This window comes from Homo sapiens, chromosome 17, assembly GCF_000001405.40.
Source record: "Homo sapiens chromosome 17, GRCh38.p14 Primary Assembly".
Classification (NCBI taxonomy): Eukaryota; Metazoa; Chordata; class Mammalia; order Primates; family Hominidae; genus Homo; species Homo sapiens.
In genome coordinates, this window is record NC_000017.11 from 27415474 (window position 1) to 27436462 (window position 20989).

General features: G+C 52.9%; 1 pseudogene across 1 annotated transcript; it reads left to right on the forward strand.

Moving 5' to 3' along the window:
* Positions 1–2531: 2531 nt before the first annotated feature.
* Positions 2532–16150, forward strand: TBC1D3P5 (TBC1 domain family member 3 pseudogene 5; annotated as a pseudogene). Its single transcript, NR_033892.1, has 13 exons — positions 2532–2622; positions 3636–3790; positions 4068–4140; positions 4297–4380; positions 5518–5668; positions 6155–6775; positions 7084–7193; positions 8468–8516; positions 10001–10095; positions 10486–10551; positions 10987–11086; positions 14263–14931; positions 15332–16150. The product of NR_033892.1 is annotated as a TBC1 domain family member 3 pseudogene 5 (transcript).
* Positions 16151–20989: the final 4839 nt, after the last annotated feature.

Genomic DNA, 20989 nt, shown 5'->3' on the forward strand with positions numbered 1-20989 from the left:
TGCCTTCAAGCCTGGGAGGATGTGGCCAGGGCTCCACAAGGCCCTGGAGTTGGGGGAGGGGGTGTGTGCTGGCAGGAGAGCAGATCCACCCTCCTCTTGAGGAAGCAGCCACCACCCCCAAGAAGCAGCAATTCGGGGCACACAGGCAGAGTCCCCGCGTGCTGTAGAGCAGGGCCAGCAGATCTGCACTCAACCTCAGCCCCGAGGGAGCTGCAAGACAGATGGAGACCCTGATAGGTTTGGCTCTGTGTCCCCACTCAAATCTCATCTGGAATTGTAATCCTTCTGTGTCAAGGGAGGAACCTGGTGGGAGGGGATTGGATCTGGGGACAGTTTCCCCTGTGCTGTTCCCCGATAGTGAGTGAATTCTCAAGAGAGCTGATGGTTTTAAAGTGTGGCACTTCCTCGTTCTCCACTCACTCCCTCCTGTCACCTTGTGAAGAAGGCTCCTGCTTCCCTTTCACCTTCTGCCATCATTGGAAGTTTTCTGAACTGCGAGTCAATTAAGCCTCTTTCCTTTATAAATTACCCAGTCTCAGGTATTTCTTTATAGCAGTGTGAAAACAAATTAATACAGACCCCTTCCCTGAAATGCCTTCTCCTTAGGCCACCAGCTGCCCTGATGCTCCTCCTCTGCCCCCTGGTCTTTCCTTCCCCCTAATTAGGCCCAAGTGATCCACATGGCCAGGCCCAGCCCCATCCTACTGCAGGCCTGTGTGGCTGCTGGAGAGGCCGGGCTCCTTTCCTCACCCCGAGGCTGCCTGATATGCTCTCTGGATCCTGGAGGAAACTTACCCCCTATCCTTATACTGGTGCAACTTCTTCCAAGACCTCAAAGTTGGACAACGTGAGCCAGTCTTTTTTCTTGTCTCCACTTGCTAGGGCTGTCACTGGGACAGTCCTGGGGCGGGATGGGGTGGAGGGGCAATGGATGAATGGATGGATGAATGGACAGTAGTCCAGGGAGGATGTCCCTGTCTGTCCTGAACTGGGCCCTTCCTCCAATGAGAAGCCTTCCTGAGTGAGTTTATACAGTCAACCCTTGGTATCCATGGAGGATTAGTTCCAGGGTCCCCAGGGATGCCAAAATCCATGGATGCTCAAGTCTCTGATATAACATGGCCAAGTATTTTTTATTTTTTATTTTTTGAGATGGAGTTTCACTCTTGTTGCCCAGGCTGGAGTGCGATGGCGCAATCTTGGCTCACTGTGACCTCCACCTCCGGGGTTCAAGCAATTCTCCTGCCTCAGCTTCCTGAGTAGCTGGGATTACAGGTATGTGCCACCATGTCTGGCTAATTTTGTATTTTTAGTAGAGATGGGGTTTCTCCCTATTGGTCAGGCTGGTCTCTAACTCCTGACCTCAGGTGATCTGCCCGCCTCGACCTCCCAAATTGCTGGGATTACAGGTGTAAGCCACCGCACCTGGCCTAACACAGCCTAGTATTTATATATAACCTGTGCACATCCTCCCATATACATTAGACCTTCTCTAGATTACTTATGATATACAATACAATGCAGATGCTATGTAAATGGTTGTGATACTGTATTATTTAGGGAATGATGACAAGAACAAAGTCTGCACATGTTCAGTAGAGTCATCTAATCTCTTTTCCGAATATTTTCCATCCGCTGTTGGCTGAATCCACAGATGCAGAGCTCCCAGATACGAGGGCCAAGTGTGCTTTGAGAGTAGGATGGTGAGGTGGCTAATGAGTACAAGGGAGTAAGTGTCAGTCAGGAGGGCCCTGCACTGGGGCATCTGGATGCCCTATCTCAGGACTTGAGGCTCCAGGTTTGGATGGCACAGGCAGGCTCAGCCAAAGTCAAAGCCCTCCCCTTGAATGTTCTTTTTATCCCAAGCTCTTTCTGGCCCCTGGAATTTGGCATCCCCTAGGATGCCTTGGGTGGAATGACGAATAAGCCAGATTTTAGATAACATGTCTAGAAGAGTGAGCCCCTACTGTGTGCCGGGCACTTTCCCCACAGGATTCTCTAGCTGGAATAACCAAGGGTCATGGAGAGAAATACCCAGTTAAAATATCAGAAATAAAAAAAGACATACCATTAGAGATACTAAAAAGATCATTAGGTAATAGTATTCGCATTTTTATTCTGAGATCCAACAGCAGCAATCACTTCCCTCCACCCCTATGTGTATCCCAGGACCACCCTGGGCGGGGAGGGCTGAGGTTAGGGAGCACCCATGGATGCTGTGATGCTGGCTCTGAGCCCAGGGGGTGACAGTGACAAGGAACTGGGTGCACACATGGGTGAGGCAGCCAGGCCTGGCCAGAGAAGCAACAGACATGTGCACAGATGTGTTTACCTACATACATGTGTGCACACACATGTGCAAACACATGGCACGCAAGCATGATGATGCCTTAGGCAATGCAGGATGCTGACTTTGGGCCCTGCTGACCCAGGCAAGGCGCCTTTGTGATGCTTGCCTTTATCTCAGAATGTCACTGGTGCTTAGCACCCGTCCGCTCTCTGCCCTGCCTCTGTGTTCTACAGCAGCTACACACAGACAGTGGTATCTGTGAGCAGCTCTGTGGACTCAAAGGTTTTCTCCCTGAGAGGCGTAACCCAGGCCAGCTGATTCATCAGAATCAGGTGAGTGTGACCTGCTCTCTTCCCTCCATGCTGACTTGGGGACAGTGGCTAATGGTGTGGGTGGTGCTGGCCTCTGGGCACGTGCTGAGGAGGGTCATCCCTGAACACTCACCGGGTGCCCGTTCTACGCTGCCCGTGTGGACAGTTGTCTCTTTCATCCTCATGGTGGCTCCCGCATGTACCCATTTGACAGGTGAGATGTCTGGGGTCAGAGAGGCGGTAACTGGCCTGGGAATCCCAACAGGACCCTGGGTTTTGCTCTTGGCCCTGCCCTGTGCCATGTTGGACTTCAGGCCTGAACCCTGCGGCCTCCTTGCCCCAGATCCCAAATCTGTCCAGGGTTTCTGATCCCCACTGGGATGGGGCAGAGCCTCGCCATGGCAGAGCCACTGAGATGGATCCATTGTGGGTGAGGTGGAGGGGAGGGTCCTCAGAACACATCTGTGCCCTAAGCTGGGTCTTGATGGTCCCTGTGGGACCCACTGAACACACATGGTCCTTTGTCCGAGAGTGGGATGGGGAGCCTTCTGCCTTTGGGCAGTCGTGGAAAATGAAGGATCCCTGGTGAGCTGGCTGGAGGGAGACTGTCTTCCCTCCTGTTAAAAGGGGTCCAGGTACTGGGGTTCTCCGCAAGTATTTCTTTCTCTGTCTGATCCTCTCGAGGCCTCACCCTCCTTTTGCCCTGAGTGTTCCCAGGAGGGATGGTCCATCTAGGTGTTCTCCAGAACCAAGGACCCACTGTTCTTCCTCAGTGACCCAGGAAAATGAAGCCCCCTCCTGTATGGATAGCTCAGAATGGTGGAGTCCACCGTCCCTCCCCGAGAGATGTGGTTTCCACGAGCATAGGGGCTGCTTTGGAGACAGTAGATTATTTTCATCCCCCAAACCAAACACCCTCCTGCTTAACTGGCGTTGTTCCTAAAGTGGCTTCACTGGTGAGACTGAAGGGCCACAGTAGCCCAAGTGATGAGTGGAGTAGAACCGAGCAGTCAGGAGAGGTCTTGTTCCCGTAGGAAACTGGGCATCTCTGTGGTCCCTGAGCATCCCAGGAGGCCGACTGTACAGAGACCTCTGGTCCCTGACCCCAGTCTGCCTCCACATCCCTGGAATAGCCCATCATGGGCCCTTCAACCTTGGCAGGTGGACACCATTCAACATGCTGGGGCAGGTGTGTACCCGTTTCATGGCATTTGGGGACAACAGGATTCTCTGTCCAGGTCCCAGTATTCTCAAGTCCTTGGGAAGATGCCCACCCCTGCTTGGGGCTTGAGACTCCAGAGACCCATGCAGGTGTGGGCCACTGGGTCTGGCCCCTTTTCACCTGAGGGCAGTGGTGGAAGGGGGGTTACACCGCCAGGCAGAATCTGGGAGCCAGGTGGGAGCGGTTTAGGTATTCTCCGAAGGTCTCAGGTACAGTGTAACATTTAGATGATTTTGTCTCACAGGATGGACATGGTAGAGGATGTGGATACTTTGCAGGAGTGAGAGGACATCATTATGAAGTATGAGAACGTACAGGTCCGTCTGCTCCCTGGAGGGAGGCCTCTTCCAGTGTGCCCTGCTCAAAGGATCCTGGGCTCCCTAGGAGCACAGGGCAGGGACGGGTGGCCACTACCCCCAGACCCTTGCACCCGTTACCTTGGACCCCTCATCAAGGCTCCCTCTGGATTACAGGGACACCGAGCTGGGCTGCCAGCAGACACGGGGCCTAAAGCCTGTTGGAATCTACAGCAGCACTGATCGCTTTGGGATTCTGCAGTGAGTCCTCTGTGCTCCCCTCAGCCCCTAAAGCACTTATTTCAGCTTAGGGATGGGTTTACTTTTAGAAGGGACTTTCTGAAGCAGAACATGTCTGCCCAGGTCGGGCCAACCTCCTTTCCAGGATCAGAACTCCTCCCTGGCTCCCCTGCAGGTCCAGCCTGAGGTTGTTGTTAGGCCAGTGGTGCGGGGCCCATCTAGGGAGTGGGTGGGAATGGAGAGGGGGCTAGGTCAGGCCCCTGGGCTCTCAGCAGTTCTGTCTCCGAGTTAGCACAAGAGGAGGGGGGCAGCCTGAGGGTCTGGCCCTGTTCACTTGGAGACAACCCCAGTGAGATCCAAGGGTTGTGGCCACAGGGTGAGGAGACGCCTGGTCCAGCCTCGGGGCTGTTGTCCAGCAGGTCTCTGAGGGCCCACCTGCCCCTGTTCACCCCCATTTCCCTAGAGCTACAGCCCTCACTGTCCCCATGGGGAAGGGGGAAAGGCATGGGGACAGTAGGGGCTGTGGCCTTAGGGGAATGGGGGAGAAGATGGGCAGGGCCCAGTTCTGGGCATCTCACGGTGAGGCCAAGGAGGCAGCAGAGCTTGCAGCTAATGACCCTGGGTCTGGTGCTGGGAAGGGATCTGGGGCCAGGTAAGAGGAGCCCAGGCTGGAGCCCATCCCTCAGGGATCATAGAATGGAGAGATGGAGGATGCCAAGAGAGGTAGGGTGGGAGGGAGCTTATGAGCCATGCCACTTCTGAAATGCAGTGTGTGTGGCTTGGGTGCAGGGAGAGGCAGGTGGACCCTGGGAGGTCAGACCCTGCAAGGGCCTTGGGAATGTCGGGTGGGATGGGCCCCCGGTGTACCCTAGACCCTGGCAGGTCCACATCACGTGGTCACTCCCAGAGGGACTCCTGTCAGGGCCCGGTCACCCCATCCCATCTCGGGGCTGACCTTTCTCAGCTCAAGCACAAAGCATTACTTCCAGTCCAGGGGGGCAGCCCCCATTTTACACCCTGACCACCCCCCACACCAAGGGGCCCCATTAGCCTCGGCCAGGCTGGCCCTGCACTCCCTCTTCTCCCAGGTCCTGGACCTTCCTGGGAGTCAGCCCCACAGGAAGGCCCTTGTCTTCCCTTCCCTGTGCCTTCTCCTAGGCTGAGCCCTGAGCTGGATGGGACAGAGCCAGTCCTTTCTGGGGGTCGGCTCCCAGACCGAGATGGCTCCAAACCTTGTGCAAGTCCTCAGCTCTGCCTGGGCTGCATTACAGTGAGAAGGAACTGCCCGGTCAGAGCCCGGGAGGTGAAGGTAAGAGCCTGATCCATGGGGGGGCTGGTCCAGGGACGGGGGGACTCGGCGAGTGGTCAGTGAGGCAGAGAAAGCAGCGGGCCTGGGCGGTAGCAGGTGGGGGCAACACGCTGTCACTTGGAGGGGCAGCTGTCCCTGCTGGACCTGACCCCAGCTTACTGTATCTCTGGCAGTTTGATGAAATTCCAAAGTGAGAACCACAGTCCTGGCTTGGGGATGGCTGCCCGCTTGTGTCAGGACCCCACCTAGAGACTGGGACCTGACCTAAGACTGGTGTGTCTGTGGCCTGAGGATGGCACGTCCCAGGGTCCCAAGGCCAGCCCACTGGCACTCATTTGCTCAAAGGCCCTCAGCCTTTATGGTCTGCCCTTCCCTGGCTCCTTCTAGCTGGGTCCCACCAGGGCTCCAGAGCCCAAGACCCAGCATCCACGGGTGGCTCTGCGAAGCCTGGCAGCTCCGCTAACTCCAACATTCCTCATTTGACAGCAAATGCGGCAGGAGATGAGATGAAAGAGCAAGTGGATGGAAATGCTGGGAGAATGGGAGACATATCAGAACAGCAAAAAAGTAATGTGTGGAGGGAGAGGCCCCCAGAACCACTCTCTGCAGAGACAGGGGACAGGCACCCATGGCTGTGGCCTGGCACCGTCAGCCTCTCAGAGGGCAGGTGGCACACAGTGCTCACCCAGAGGACCGCAGGCCTGGTTGCCAGCTTTACTGCCCGTTCATGCAAGCATCACCTTGCTGAGAGGGAATCTGAATCTAGGGCTGGGGATGCCTCCTGCTGACCCGAAGGAAAGAAAAGGTCCAGATCAGAGTTCAGGACTCTGAGTGCCCACACACTCTTTCAATCCTGCGAAGGGAGACCCTGTCCCAGCTTGACCTCACCTTTACCGAGGAATCATGGGGCCAAAACCAAAGATTTCCAGGATCCTCGGGCTCTGGTCCTGGCTGGGGTCATCCCATGGCCTGTGACACCAGATCGTTTTCTGCCCACAGCTAATTGATTGAGTGTATAAGGGCATTCCCATGAACATCCAGGGCCAGGTGTGGTCAGTCCTCCTGAACATTCAGGAAATCAAGATGAAAAATCCCAGAAAATACCAGGTATGCTAAGCCAGAGCACAACAAACAGGCCAGGCTGGGTCAGGGCCCAGTTCTCCAGCTAGAGGGAATGTCTTGCCCAGCCTGGGGGAGTGGGTACCATGGTCAGATGCACATCCTAAGCACAGAAGGTGACATAGGAACCACAGACCCTCCCCAGCTTCAGAAACAAGCCAAAAAGCAGCTTTCTGCAGAAGGAAGCCTTTCTTTCCTTCCTTCCAGAAGTGCTGACTGTGGGCTGACTACCATTTGGGGCAGGGAGTCTTCCATCTGCTCTGAGGCTGTTTCTTCCTCTTGGCCCTGTCCTACAGGTCATGAAGGAGAAGGGCAAGAGATCCTCTGAACACATCCACCAGGTCTACCTGGACATGAGCTGGACACTAGGGAACCACATCTTCTTCAGGGATCGATATGGAGTCAAGTAAGCCTATGGGAGCCACAGGGTGCCAGCAGAGATGGGGTAAACCAGAGGGATGGGGACTTCCCCGGAGCAGAATCCAGGGTCACCCAGGAGGGACGACAGAGCTGCCAAGGGCTCCCCTGGCCCAGGGAGCAGCCGGCACCATGGACGGAGCACCTCCCAGGTTCTAAGCCCTGTGCCAGGCTGGAACATGTGGGGCCAGAACCCAGGAGGATCCTGCGGAGACAGAAGGCAGCAAAGAAAATCATGCACAATGGTGAAAGTTGCTCTCCCTGACCCACGGAGACCCATGGTAGGACCCACAGGAGGGCAGCAGGATGGAGGGCCCATGAGCCTCCCCAGGCAATACTGACAGCACCAAATGCTGGGGGGATTCAGTTTCCTGGAAATTATCATCCAGGTCTGCTGGGAACGTGACATGGCACAGCCACTTTGGCAGCTGGTTGGGCAGTGGCTCACAAAGCTCAATGGACTTGAACTCCACGTCCCCAAAGTGTCACAGATATTGAACCCACTGATTTGAAAACTGACGTCACATGAAACCTGCATGCCACATTCACTGCTTGATTCCTCATCACACATACATGGAGCCTTCGGGAACGACCTTCAACACGGGAATGCGGAGAGGAAGGCTGGTCCTCCCTAAAACGGTAGAAGACTCAGTGAGAAAAGGGAACGAGCCAGTGATGTCCGCACAAACGTGGGTGGATCCTAGATGCATTTTGCTAACGGAAAGAAGCCAGAGTCAACAAGATACCGCTGTAGGATTCCAATCATAGACCATTCTGGACAAGGCCAAACCATAGGGACTGAGAACCATTCTGAGTGGCCAGGGACTGACGGATCGGGGAGAGGCTGGCTGCATAGAGACCACCCTGGAGACTTGGAGGATGAAGGAGTCGCTCCAGAAGGCTCTGCACATTGGTTTAGAACCATGGAAGAACTGTATACCCAAAGACTGAACTGGCGTGCGTGCAAACCAAAAAAAAACAAAAAACAAAAAAAAAACAAACAACAACAACAACAAAGAAACAAAAAACAAAAATCAGAGCAAAAATGATCAGTCAACTCACTGTACAACTGGGCTATTATTAGCATTTCACAGATGTGGATTTTACTGAAACATTTCTTAAATAGTCAAAGGCCCTGAAGAGCTCACTGCTTATCTGGTGAATCATCTGAACCTGAAATTGGATTTGTTATTAGGGTTTGTAGACAAAGTGAAACTAACATCTGCACAAAAGAAACAAAAGCCCCCTGTATCTGTTTTTTAGGCAGCGGGAACTATTCTACATCCTCCTGGCATATTCAGAGTATAACCCAGTGAGTATTTCCAGGGAGTGACCATATTCCCATGTTCACGGCTATATTCCCGGTCCATATTTCCATATTCCCGGGCATGGGTGTCTGGTGTGGGTGTCATTGCTTCTTTTAAAGTTAGTATTTGTGACCCACCAGGATATAGGAGGTAGGACTCCAGCCCACTGCTGGCATAAACCTCCAAGCAAGGGGGGTGGTCTCAAGGGGTCTCACTGAGACACAAAGGAGTCGGGCCTGGACTCCTGGTGTCACCTGGGCCTGACCACCCCTTCTTGGAACAAGAAATGATGCCCTCCTCCTGGGGCTGCCCCAAAGCTCAGGAGCTTGGCAGTGTCACAAGCAGGACGGTGCTAACAGGAGACATTTTGGACAAGGTGCTAAAAGGCCCAATGGACATAGCTGTCGTCATAAAATGAATTTGCATCTTGAGGAAGCCTCTTCTTCAGAGGAAGCCTCCCCAGTCACCTCTGCCCTCTCTGATGACATGAGTCCTCCCAGGTGACCTCAGCCCTCCCAGGTGATGTCCTTCCACGGTGACTCTGGCTCTTGCAGGAGGTGGGCTACTGCAGGGACCTGAGCCATGTCACTGCCTTGTTCCTCCTTTATCTGCCTGAGGAGGATGCATTCTAGGCACTGGCGCAGCTGCTGGCCAGTGAGAGGCTCTCCCTGCAGGGTAGGTGGACAGCGGCTCCCGGGGCCTCATGCAGTCAGACCCGGGGAGAGCCACCCTGGCCAGGTGATCTCGGCTTTCAGTGAAGACACCTTCCTTGTGTCACCAGCTAACTGTTGGGAGCCTTTAGGATGTCTCTGCCTCACGCGGTCAGACCCAGAGAGAGCCACCCTGGCCAAGTGATCTCGGCTTTTATTGAAGACACCTTCCTTGTGTTGCCAGCTTGTTGGGAGCCTTTAGGATGTCCCACAGGAGCCCGGGGCTGACCCCCAGAGCCCAAGTCAGACACCTTTCATCTTCATCAGCAGAAGGCATCTCATCTTCCCCAAGGCCGCCCTGTGTATCATGGAGCCACGCCCTCTGGCTCTGATTCTGTGCAGCTGACTCTCTCCTCCCTGAGAGTCCTCTTGCCCTTCAGCTGCCCAGGCTCCAGCTTCCCTTGGTACCCACAAATGGGCCAACCAAGCCCAGATGGCAGCATCTCCCCATCCCGTGTCCCCTGGCCCGGCCCCACTTCCAGGAGACGACCACGAAGCCCAGCACCCACCCTATTCTGGCCACCCCCTGTCGTGGCCTCAAAGTCAGGCTTGCCCTCCCGGCACCCTGGCCCAGGAGGCCTCCAGGGGCACCTCCAGCCAGGCTCCAGGGGAAGCTCTCATCACCCTCCCCAGGGCCAAGGCCACATGGTGGGGTCACCAGATGGGAGGGTGGGAGGCCTCGGGGTCTGGGGGGCTCTGCAGCTGCCCAGCTCTTCCAGCTGATGGCTCCACATCTTGGGAGAGGGCTCTGATTTCATGATGGGCTGGGGGCTTCTCAGGATTCCACAGCCCAAATGGCGGGACAGTTCAGGGGCTCCAAGACCATCAGGAGCATGTGGTACCCATGTAACAACCCAAGACCATGTGTCATCTGGTGAGTTTATGGTTCCTTCGGCTCTTCCCCAGAGGCCCTGCATCCTAGGGGGCTGGAGGAGCAGCGGGGGCTGGAGCCCTTCATGGGGCTGGGGACAGGCTGAGTCCCAGCCAGGGCCTGACCTGGGATGTCGGGTTCCCCATGGGCTGGGAGTTGGGTTTCCTTTCCAGCCCTGGAGGCGACAGAGGCACAGGGATGGGGGCCCAGCTCCCACAGAGCAGGGCTAAGGGTAGTGTGTCTACCGGGAGTGCCAGAAGGGGAAGATGTTGGGGGGAGCCCGGGACACTGCCCAGTGTTCTGCACTTGGGGAAGGGTCTTCAGAGGGCCCTGGAAGAGGGAGGTTTTTAGGGCAGCCCATGGGGCCCTGAGTACCTCTGTTCCTCCCATCAGGACAAGGAAGGTCAATGCACACAGGGTTCCTCATTCAGCTGGCTTCTCTGGGTGCTGAATGATGGGGTAAGGAGGCACAGGGAGACCCTGGCTCAGGGACCCTCCTTGCCCTGCAGTGCCCTGCTTCCCCAGCCCAGGGGTCCGGCTCACCCCCAGCCCACAGGAGGCTCAGGCAGATCCCTACATGACACACAGGCAAGACCCTCTGCCGAAGAGGTGTCATTCCAGGGCAGAGGGTGGGGCTCAGGCCCAGCCTTAAGGGCAGACTGGGCCAGGGCCTGACTTGGGAGGGCTGAGGGGAGGCTCAAGCCCTGGGGAAGCCCCTCTCTCCACTGAAATGAGTGCCCCCCCATAAGGAGCTGCAAGACCTTGTCTGACCCAGCCTCCTGGAGGGGTCCGGTGACTCTCATGGGGAAGGTCACTGAAGCCCCAATGGGCTAGCTCGAGCCACCAGCCCCAGCCTGGAAGGGCCAGGTCCTCTCATGCCTACTTTCCCCACAGATCTCTCTCGGGCTCACCCCGTGCCTGTGGGACATATATTTGCTGGAAGGGGAACAGATGTTGATGCTGATAACAAGCACTGCCTTTAAGGTTCAGAGGAGCAAGTCCACGTGTGCCCAGTGGGGCCTGGGGAGCACTGGGGTCAGACCCCAACTAGCCCAAGGGCAGCTTCCTCACACTGTTCTCATGATTCTCTGTTCTGGCCCAGAGGGAGGTCTGGCCAGGTGGGCTGGGCAGGGCACAGTGACACCAAGCCCATCCCTCACATGACCCAGATGAAAGTCAGGAGTGTGATGAGCACTTCCCTGCCCAGGCTGCCTCCCCAGCCACAGCCTTCTGTGCACATCTGGACCCCTGGGGTGGCCACAAAAGGATCTGGCACTGCCCAGTGGGAGACTGAAGTGGTCACGGGGTGTGGGCTCTGACCCTTCCCAGGGAACTCTCCTGGCCTGATACCCACCTTGTCCCTAGAGCGCCACATGAAGATGTCCAGGTCTGGCCTGTGGGCACGTTTTCGAGACCAGTTCTTCCATATCTGGGCCCTGGATGATGACGCTGTTCTTTTTTTTTTTTTTTTTTATACTTTAAGTTCTAGGGTACATGTGCACAACATGCAGGTTTGTTACATATGTATACGTGTGCCATGTTGGTGTGCTGCACCCATTAACTCGTCATTTACATTAGGTATATCTCCTAATGCTATCCCTCCCCCTTCCCCCAACCCCATGACAGGCCCTGCTGTGTGATGTTCCCCTTCCTGTGTCCAAGTGTTCTCATTGTTCAATCCCAACCTATGAGTGAAAACATGCGGTGTTTGGTTTTTTGTCCTCGTGATAGTTTGCTGAGAATGATGGTTTCCAGCTTCATCCATGTCCCTACAAAGGACATGAACTCATCCTTTTTATGGCTGCATAGTATTCCATGGTGTATATGTGCCACATTTTCTTAATCCAGTCTATCATTGATGGACATTTGGGTTGGTTCCAAGTCTTTGCTATTGTGAATAGTGCTGCAACTAACATACGTGTGCATGTGTCTTGATAGCAGCATGATTTATAATCCTTTGGGTATACACCCAGTAATGGGATTGCTGGGTCAAATGATATTTCTAGTTCTAGATCCTTGAAGAATCACCACACTGTCTTCCACAATGGTTGAACTAGTTTACACTCCCACCAACAGTGTGAAAGTATTCCTATTTCTCCACCTCCTCTCCAGCACCTGTTGTTTCCTGACTTTTTAATGATCGCCTTTCTAACTGGTGTGAGATGGTATCTCATTATGGTTTTGATTTGCATTTCTCTGATGGCCAGTGATGATGAGCATTTTTCATGTGTCTTTTGGCTGCATAAATGTCTTCTTTTGAGAAGTGTCTGTTCATATCCTTCGCCCACTTTTTGATGGGGTTGTTTGTTTTTTTCTCGTAAATTTGTTTGAGTTCTTTGTAGATTCTGGATATTAGCCCTTTGTCAGATGAGTAGATTGCAAAATTTTTCTCCCATTCTGTAGGTTGCCTGTTCACTCTGATGGTAGTTTCTTTTGCTGTGCAGAAGCTCTTTAGTTTAATTAGATCCCATTTGTCAATTTTGGCTTTTGTTGCCATTGCTTTTGGTGTTTAGACATGAAGTCCTTGCCCATGCCTATGTCCTGAATGCTATTGCCTAGGTTTTCTTCTAGGGTTTTTATGGTTTTAGGTCTAACATTTAAGTCTGCAATCCATCTTGAATTAATTTTTGTATAAGGTGTAAGGAAGGGATCCAGTTTCAGCTTTCTGCATGTGGCTAGCCAGTTTTCCCAGCACCATTTATTAAATAGGGAATCCTTTCCCCATTTCTTGTTTTTGTCAGGTTTGTCAAAGATCAGATGGTTGTAGATGTGTGGTATTATTTCTGAGGGCTCTGTTCTGTTCCATTGGTCTATATCTCTGTTTTGGTACCAGTACCATGCTGTTTTGGTTACTATAGCCTTGTAGTATAGTTTGAAGTCAGGTAGCTTGATGCCTCCAGCTTTGTTCTTTTGGCTCAGGATTGTCTTGGCAATGCGGGCCCTTTTTTGGTTCCATATGAACTTTAAAGTAGTTTTTTCCAATTCTGTGAAGAAAGTCACTGGTAGCTTGATGGGGATGGCATTGAATCTATAAATTACCTTGGGCAGTATGGCCATTTTCACGATATTGATTCTTCCTATCCATGAGCATGGAATGTTCTCCCATTTGTTTGTGGATGACGCTGTTCTTAATCATCTTTGGGCCTCTATGAAGAAACTAACAAGGAAGCATGGGGACCTGCCACCCCCAGGTGGGCTCCAGTACCAGGTCCCCTCCTGAGTCACCCTCTGGGGCAGTCAATACTGGGGGAGTACCCAGGACCCCTAACCCTATTACTTGGGTCTTCCTCTTCACCTTTTCTTCCTCCTCTTCCTCCTGGACTCTAAGAAAATACAGGAGGCCCACCATTCCTCAGGGCAGGCGCTCAGTGCATATGTACTGGATGTGCTGTGCACGCAGGAGGGGGATGTGGGCAAGACCCTCCAACAAGCCCCCTCCCACTTCCCACGGTGGCCTGCTCTCCCCCTCACAGGGCTCTCAAGGGCACTGGAGGAGCCAGACCCATTTGTGAGAGCCTCCACTCCTCCCTGCAAGCGCTGACAGCCTCAGAGAGCAACAGAGGCCCTTCACTCCTGCAGACTCCTCCAGGGGTGCCAGGACAACAAGCCTTGAGCCAGGGAGACAAGGGAATCAGTGTCTCTTACCCATAGAGCATTCAGAGAGAGGGCACAGGTGGGACCCCTGGCCCAGAGCCAGAGCCAAGTGTTTAGCCAGGTGTGGGAACGGTCAGTCCTGGTATGGACGGGGCAGCCCAGGAGGGCAGAGGGTGACCCACGTCCAGGCCCAGTCACCCACTGTGGAGACGGGTCCCCATGTGAAGTGGCAAGGGGCTGGTGACATCCAAGGCCCCTCCCACCTGAGTTCTGACTGGGGGCCATATCCCAGGCCCAATAGCCCTGGGATGAGGGTGTGTGGCAGGAAGCCCCCAGCGAGGCTGAACCCTGGGGGCAGTTCCAGAAGCCACCTGCCATGCCCAGGCAGCTTCCCCACACCAGGCGGCACACAACCCTTCCTCTGGGATCAGCAGACTATAGGCATGTCATCAGTGTCAGACCACAGGGGCCACACAGAGACCCTGAGGACTCCAGAGACCCAGGCAGGTGGGGCCCAGCCCAGAAAGGCCTGCATGGGCTCACTGGAGACACTGACCACGTCTGTTTTCCTTTCAGCAAAACCCGAGAAAGGGTCCTCAGGACCCAGGTCTGTGCTGGCATCACATGGCGGGAAGACCCTCTGCAAGGGGGACAGGAAGGCCCTTCCCGGCCCACCAGCCCGGTTCCAGCGGCCCATTTGGTCCGCTTCTCCACCTCGTCCTACACCCTGTCCTGGTGGGGCTGTCCATGAGGCCAAGGCCCAGGAACATGTGGGGGCTTCTGGGGAGCCCAGGGCAGCAGACCACTCTCTGGGGGCACCTGGGACTCAGGGCATGCCCAGCCTGGCCCCGGCTCAGGGAGGACCTCGGCGTTCCTGGAGATTCCTGCAGTGGAACTCTATGCTCCAGCTCCCGACGGACCTGGATGTGGGGGGCCCTTGGTTCCCCCATGACGATTTCAAACAGAGCTGCTGGGTCCATGTCCCTTCTAAATGTGTCCTGGACAGCCCCGGGACCATGGGACAGGCCTAGCCCAGGGAGCCCAAGGGGACCCTGACACCGGGCCCAGCCCAGGCCCATCAGGACTAAGAGGGAGGTCGGGAGATAACCCCGCTGCAACATGGGCACCTGCATCTGGTCACCGAAGCCAGGGTGGCACCCCGCCAGCTGCCCTGCAGCCCCAGACACCTGGAAAATCCCATTCAATGGGGAGGCCGGTCCCACCAAGGCCACGAGAGACAGAGAGGTGAGCATGGCAGCCCCGGCCAGCCAGCAGCATGCCCTGGGGCCTCTGTCCCAATCTGCGGGCCTGTGTCCCCCTCCCAGTGCATAATTCCCAGGCAAGAGGGGCCTGGTCTAGACCCCAGCCCTGGGAAGAGAGGGGCACCAGGGGTGTGGTGGGCTCCCAGTTGCAGTCAGTATGACCATGCAGGGGACCCTGGCGCTGCAGAGCTCTGCCACTGTCACAATTCACCTCACAGAAGCCGGGTGAGTCCCGAAGCCTTGCAGCCACTGCTGTAGCCCTTGCAGACACCACGACCAGGTGCCTTCCAGCTGCCAGTGCAGGTTTTCCTGACAGGAGGGCACCCTGCAGCCCTGGCCTCAGCAGCTCAGACTCTGAAGGTATCTGTTATTCATGTTTCCAGTACTCCCACCAAAGAGAATTACTATGGAGGATGATGTTGGTCCTGAGTTGAGCAAAACAGCATGCCCTGTGGATGGAGCCGGCTTCTTTCCAAGCCACCACACTTGCTGGATGGGCCCACGGAGCGAGTGGCCTTGAGACCGGCATGAGGATGGAAGAGGCTCAGCATCCTGCACATGCCCTTTCCAAGGCTCACCAGGCTGACACCACATTTGTGGATGAGAGACTCACACCCAGTCCCTGGGATGGCACAATTTCCCAGGAGGATCAGCTGGCCACCTGCTGGCAGGCTGACCACACTGCGAAGGGGCTGAGATTGGCTTTCACTGCACTGAGCCACAATATGGACATGGACTTGTGGGCCCTGCAGTGCACACAGCATTGCCTCCGAGCAGGACACCCCATTCACAGCTAGGGACAAGCAGCAGTGCGCTTCCACCTCGGGGCCTTGGCTCTGCCACCTCTATTTTGAATGTTCTCAGTTCCCTCCAGGCTACTAGAAGCATCTGGGCCAGGGCTCATGGCTAGATAAGCACCCGAGATCCCAAACAAGCTTCCCATCCTCGTTTTACTTTTTGTTAAACTTATGAAAATTTATTAAGATATGACTTACATCCCTGGTAAGTGCACAGCTCAAAAGACATTCAGAGATGGAACACACCAGCCCCCAGATCACAAAGCCAACCATGCCCAGCCCTTCCCAGCACCCCCAGCCCTGAAACCTGACTTCTGACGACACCATGAGCCTGCCTTTATACTTTACACTCATGGAAGGATAACCATCTTCATGTTGTAAAATAAATGTTTACTGTTGAAATGATTTTACACGTACACCTTCCATCCAGCTGCCCTTAATAAGGACATTTTGCAGTACCATGGCACATAAGAAATTTAGGCCAGGTGTGGTGGCTCATGCCTGTAATCCCAGCAATTTGAGAGGTCGAGGCAGGAGGTTCAGGTTCACTTGAGCCCAGGAGTTTGAGACCAGCCTGGGAAACATAGGTAGACTCTTTCTCTAGAGAAAAGTAAAAGAAATTGCCAGGCGTGGTGGCGTGTGTGTGTAGTCCCACCTAGTCAGGAGGCTGAGGTGGGAAGACTGCTTTAGCAATTGAGTTCCAGGAAGCAGTGAGCTATGATCACAGCACTGCACTCCAGCCTAAGTGACAGAGTGAGACTTTGTCTCTTAAAAAAACAAAATAAGAAATTTAACATGGGTGCAATCCTATTAACTAAATGATAATGTGAACTATTATCTAAGGTTATTAATGCAGTAATTATATGAATAGGGTGAAATTTATTCAGACTTCACCCGTTTTCGCCTAGCTTCTCATACCTGTCCAGGGATCCCACCTCTGACTCACCCTCTGCCTTTAGGTCATGTCTCCTTAGCTTCCTCCAGGTTGTCCAGCCAAACACACACCTGGGCTGAGTGGTAGAGCTGATTGCTCCTGGGCTCCAAACCTCTACAGCATGTTACCATATTGAGTACTGTAGGAAATGGTAACATAATGGTGGCTATCTGTGTATCTAAACACAGAAAAGGATCATAAAAATACAGTATAAACAATACAAAATGGTACACCTCGCCAGCTGTGGTGGTTCATGCCTATAATTCCAGCACTCTGGGAAGCCATAATGGGAGGATCACTTGGGCCCAGGAGTTCAAGACTATCTGGGCAACATAACAAGGCCCCATCTCTTCTTAAATATCAATTTTTAGAGATGGTACACCTGTATAGGATGGATCCATTATAGCCTTATGGGAACCACCATCCTATATGCATTCTGGCATGGACTGAAATGTCGTTATCTGACACATGATCACATAAGTAATCTAGAGATAATTTTAAGCATACAAGAAGATGTGCTTAGGTTATATACAAATACTGCACCATTTTATATCAGGACTTTGGTATCTGTGGGAGATGGGGAAACTGATTCCCCACATACATTGAGGGGCAACTGTAAACATTTCAGGCCCCACAGAAGGCTCAATTCCCTGCACCCCCACCCCGAGGTAAATTCTTTTACTGGAGATTAGTTTGCCTGATGATAACTTCATATAAATGGAATCACACATTATCTATTCTTATAGATATTATTCTTATAGACCTATTCTTATAGGTCTAACTTCTGTCGCTCACACATGAGCTGTGTGAGATTCATTCATGTTGTAGCCACAATTTACTCATTTTCTTTGCTGTATAGTATTCTAGTCTTGAATGTCCCATGGTTTTTTATTTATTCTTCTGTGATGGGTATTTTGGAAGTTTCTACTATGAGGCTATTACAAATTGTGCTGCTATGTGGGTTGTTTTACTTGTATTTTAGTGAAGATATAGACACATCTGTGTAAGGTACACACGAAGGGAGGAAATTGCTAGCTCATGGGAGGCAAATGTTTAGCTTTGGTGAATATTGCCAAATCATTCTAAAGTGTCTGTTCCACTTCACCTGTTCATCTGTGAGCTGGAGCATTCCATCCACAGCTTGGGCTGTCTCAGAAAGACCCGGGTTCAATCCCATTCAGCCACTTAGTAGCTGTGTCCCTTTGGGCAAACCATGTAACTTCTCTGAGTCTCAGGGTCCTCATCTGTAAATTGGGCTGCTGGTGGTCCTTACCTCACAGGGCCACTGTGAGGACTAAGTGAGATGAAAGCTGACTCCCTGAGTGGCACCACTTCTCTCTCCCTCAGACTGAACAGGAAGATGCCTTCACTGCCCAATGCGAAGGCCATGGGGAGGACGCGAGGCCCCAGGGCTCCTCTGTCCCAGGAGCATAAGCCCTGGGTTTTTGTTTCCAGAAACAACCACCCCTGGGGTCAGGATGACTCTCAAGTCCCCACAGCCTGTTCTCCCACCCCACGAAGGCGCATCTTCAGCAGTGGGGAAAGGGCTGCACTGTGCCATCCTCACCCTGGCCACTGTCTGCCCTCATGACTCAGAGCACAGCGAGGTCACCAAGCAGAGCAGTGCAGGGTCCGGCCCCAGCCCTGGGCTCTAGACATCCAAGTCACCCCCACCTGCCCCAACCCTGCCCCCTCCATCCCTCAGCCCCCGCTTGCCACTTTCACAGCTCAGGACATTTTAGCTCCTTACATTTTAGCTCCTTACATGACACCATCATCTGTCTCCTCAAGCGGAGTGCAGCACAAGGGCAGTGAACTCAGTCAGTCTATGGATGTGTCTCTGGTGTCTGGGAGATGAGAAGCTCAATACATACTTGCTCAGTGTCTGCGTGCATTTCATTGAGCAGAAGACAGCTTTGGAAATAAGAAGAGACCCTCCCGAGGTGACAGTGCGTAGCTGGCATTTTCCAGGTATTCTCAGCATGCCAGGCGGTGGGCTGGACCATGGACACGGGAGCTCTGGAGCCCGTGGGGTGCCAGGTTACAGGCCGCGCCTGGACGGAAGTATTGTTTATTTCTTTATTAAAATTTGTACTTTCTGAGTTTATGTAATTAGCAGGTGTTGCCTTTGTGATCAGAAACAGTAAAGGTATAGAAAAAAATGTGTAGAAAAAAGCAGAAAAACAAATCACATCTATAATAAAATCCTTGCTTTTAAATAAAATGTGCAGAGAAGAAAGATGGAAAAGAAACGCAGTGAGCCGGGCATGGTGGCTCACGCCTGTGATCCCAGCACTTTGGGAGGCCACGGCGGGAGGATCGCTTGGGGTCAGGAATTTGAGACCAACATGGTCAACGTGGTGAAACCCCATCTCTAATGAAAAAAAAAAATTAGCAGGGCATGTTGGTGGGCACCTGTAATCCCAGCTACTCGGGAGGCTGAGGCAGGAGAATTGCTTGAACCTGGGAGGTGGAGGTTGCAGTGACCCAAGATTGCACCACTGAACTCTAGCCTAGGCAACAGAGCGAGACTCCGTCTCAAAAGACAAAAACAAAAAAAACCTTAATAATTGTCATCTCTGAGGGCTGGGGATATCAGGAAACTTTGCTTTTCTGTCTAATTTTGTATATGCTCATCTCCAGATTTGAATGTATTCTATTAAATTCCCTTAGCAGCCTCCTCATTAGTCTCTCTGCCCCCATTCCTGCCCGTGCCTGCCGTGCAAAGGCTCCCCTGGCATTGTGCTAGAGAAAGCAGGTTGCTCCTAGAAAAAGTCTCCGTTCTCTATGCCTAGTTAACTTCCGCTTACCCATCAGTACTGTACTCAAGGTCTCCCCAACTACTTTATGGAAGACTTCTGTAGTGGATACTGTGACCTGCCACCCAGACGTCCACTTCAGGATCAGGGCCCTCATTCCCTGGCTGCTAGGAGACTTGGAGGTGGATGCTGGCAGATGAGTCTTACTCTGGGAAATGCCCTGGCTGAACGGAGCTGCCTGGGGACAGTCTACATCCATTGCCTAGTTCATTGGAGCAGGGAGATGGGGTGGGCAATAAAAGCCCAGACCCCTCGCCTCCATTCACTGCAACTTTGAAGGGTCATCTGCCCTCTAGAGCTCCCTGTGGGAGTGGCTGAGACCTCTGTTGCAACTGGAGTGCAGTCACTCTGTCTGGCCAGGCCTGCCAGCTTCACCCTCTCACAGGTGCTGGTCCTGAGGGTACTTCCCAAGGAACTTCCTTAACCAGTGACAACTAGGGTAGATTCCTTAACTATATGCTTTTTCAGGGCACATATCGCCTTTGTAAGTTTTACATCCATTTGTGGTATCTGGCTAATGTCTGCCTGTCCCATCAACTGTAATAGCCACAGAGTGGGAGCTCTATCTGATTTTATTCACCATTGCATTCTGCCATGCTGGCATGCAGTTTAAAAATATTTGTAGAGTGAACAAACAATTTTATTACCCATCTAATCTAATCCCTTAGGAGGCCATCAGCTTTACTTAGGGCTGCAGAATGTCTCATTCATTCATTCAATAAATATTTACAAGGAGAAGCTGGATTCCTACCTCTCAACACCAAAACAATTCCAGATGGTTCAAAGATGGTTATATGTAAGAAAATGAAACCAATAACTTTCTAGAATAAAGATGAGTAAGTTTTAGAAAAAAAATTGGTGGGCCGGGTGGGGTGGCTCACGCCTGTAGTCCCAGCACTTTGGGAGGCCGAGACGGACAGCTCATGAGGTCAAGAGTCCAAGACCAGCCTGGCCAACATGGTGAAACCCAGTCTCTACTAAGAATACAAAAATTAGCCAAGTATGGTGGTGTGTGCCTATAATCCCAGCTACTCAGGAGGCTGAGGCAGGAGAATCTCTTGAACCTGGGAGGCGGAGGTTGCAGTGAGCTGAGATTCTGCCACTGCACTCCAGCCTGGGCAACAGAGCAAGACTTAATCTTGAAAAAGAAAAAAAAAGAAAAAATTTGGAATATTAAGGGCCTTCATAAGCATGACCACATAAAATTCTAAACCTTTATAAAGCGAAAATAAAGATTAATAAGCTGGGCCAGGCCCAGTGGCTCATGCTTATAATCCCAGCACTTTGGGAGGCTGAGGCGGGTGGATCACCGGAGGTCGGGAGTTCAAGACCACCCTGACCAACATGGAAAAACCTTGTCTCTACTAAAAACACAAAATTAGCCGGGCATGATGGCACATGCCTGTAATTCCAGCTACTTGGGAGGCTGAGGCAGGAGAATTGCTTGAATCAGGGAGGCGGAGGTTGCGGTGAGCCAAGATCATGCCATTG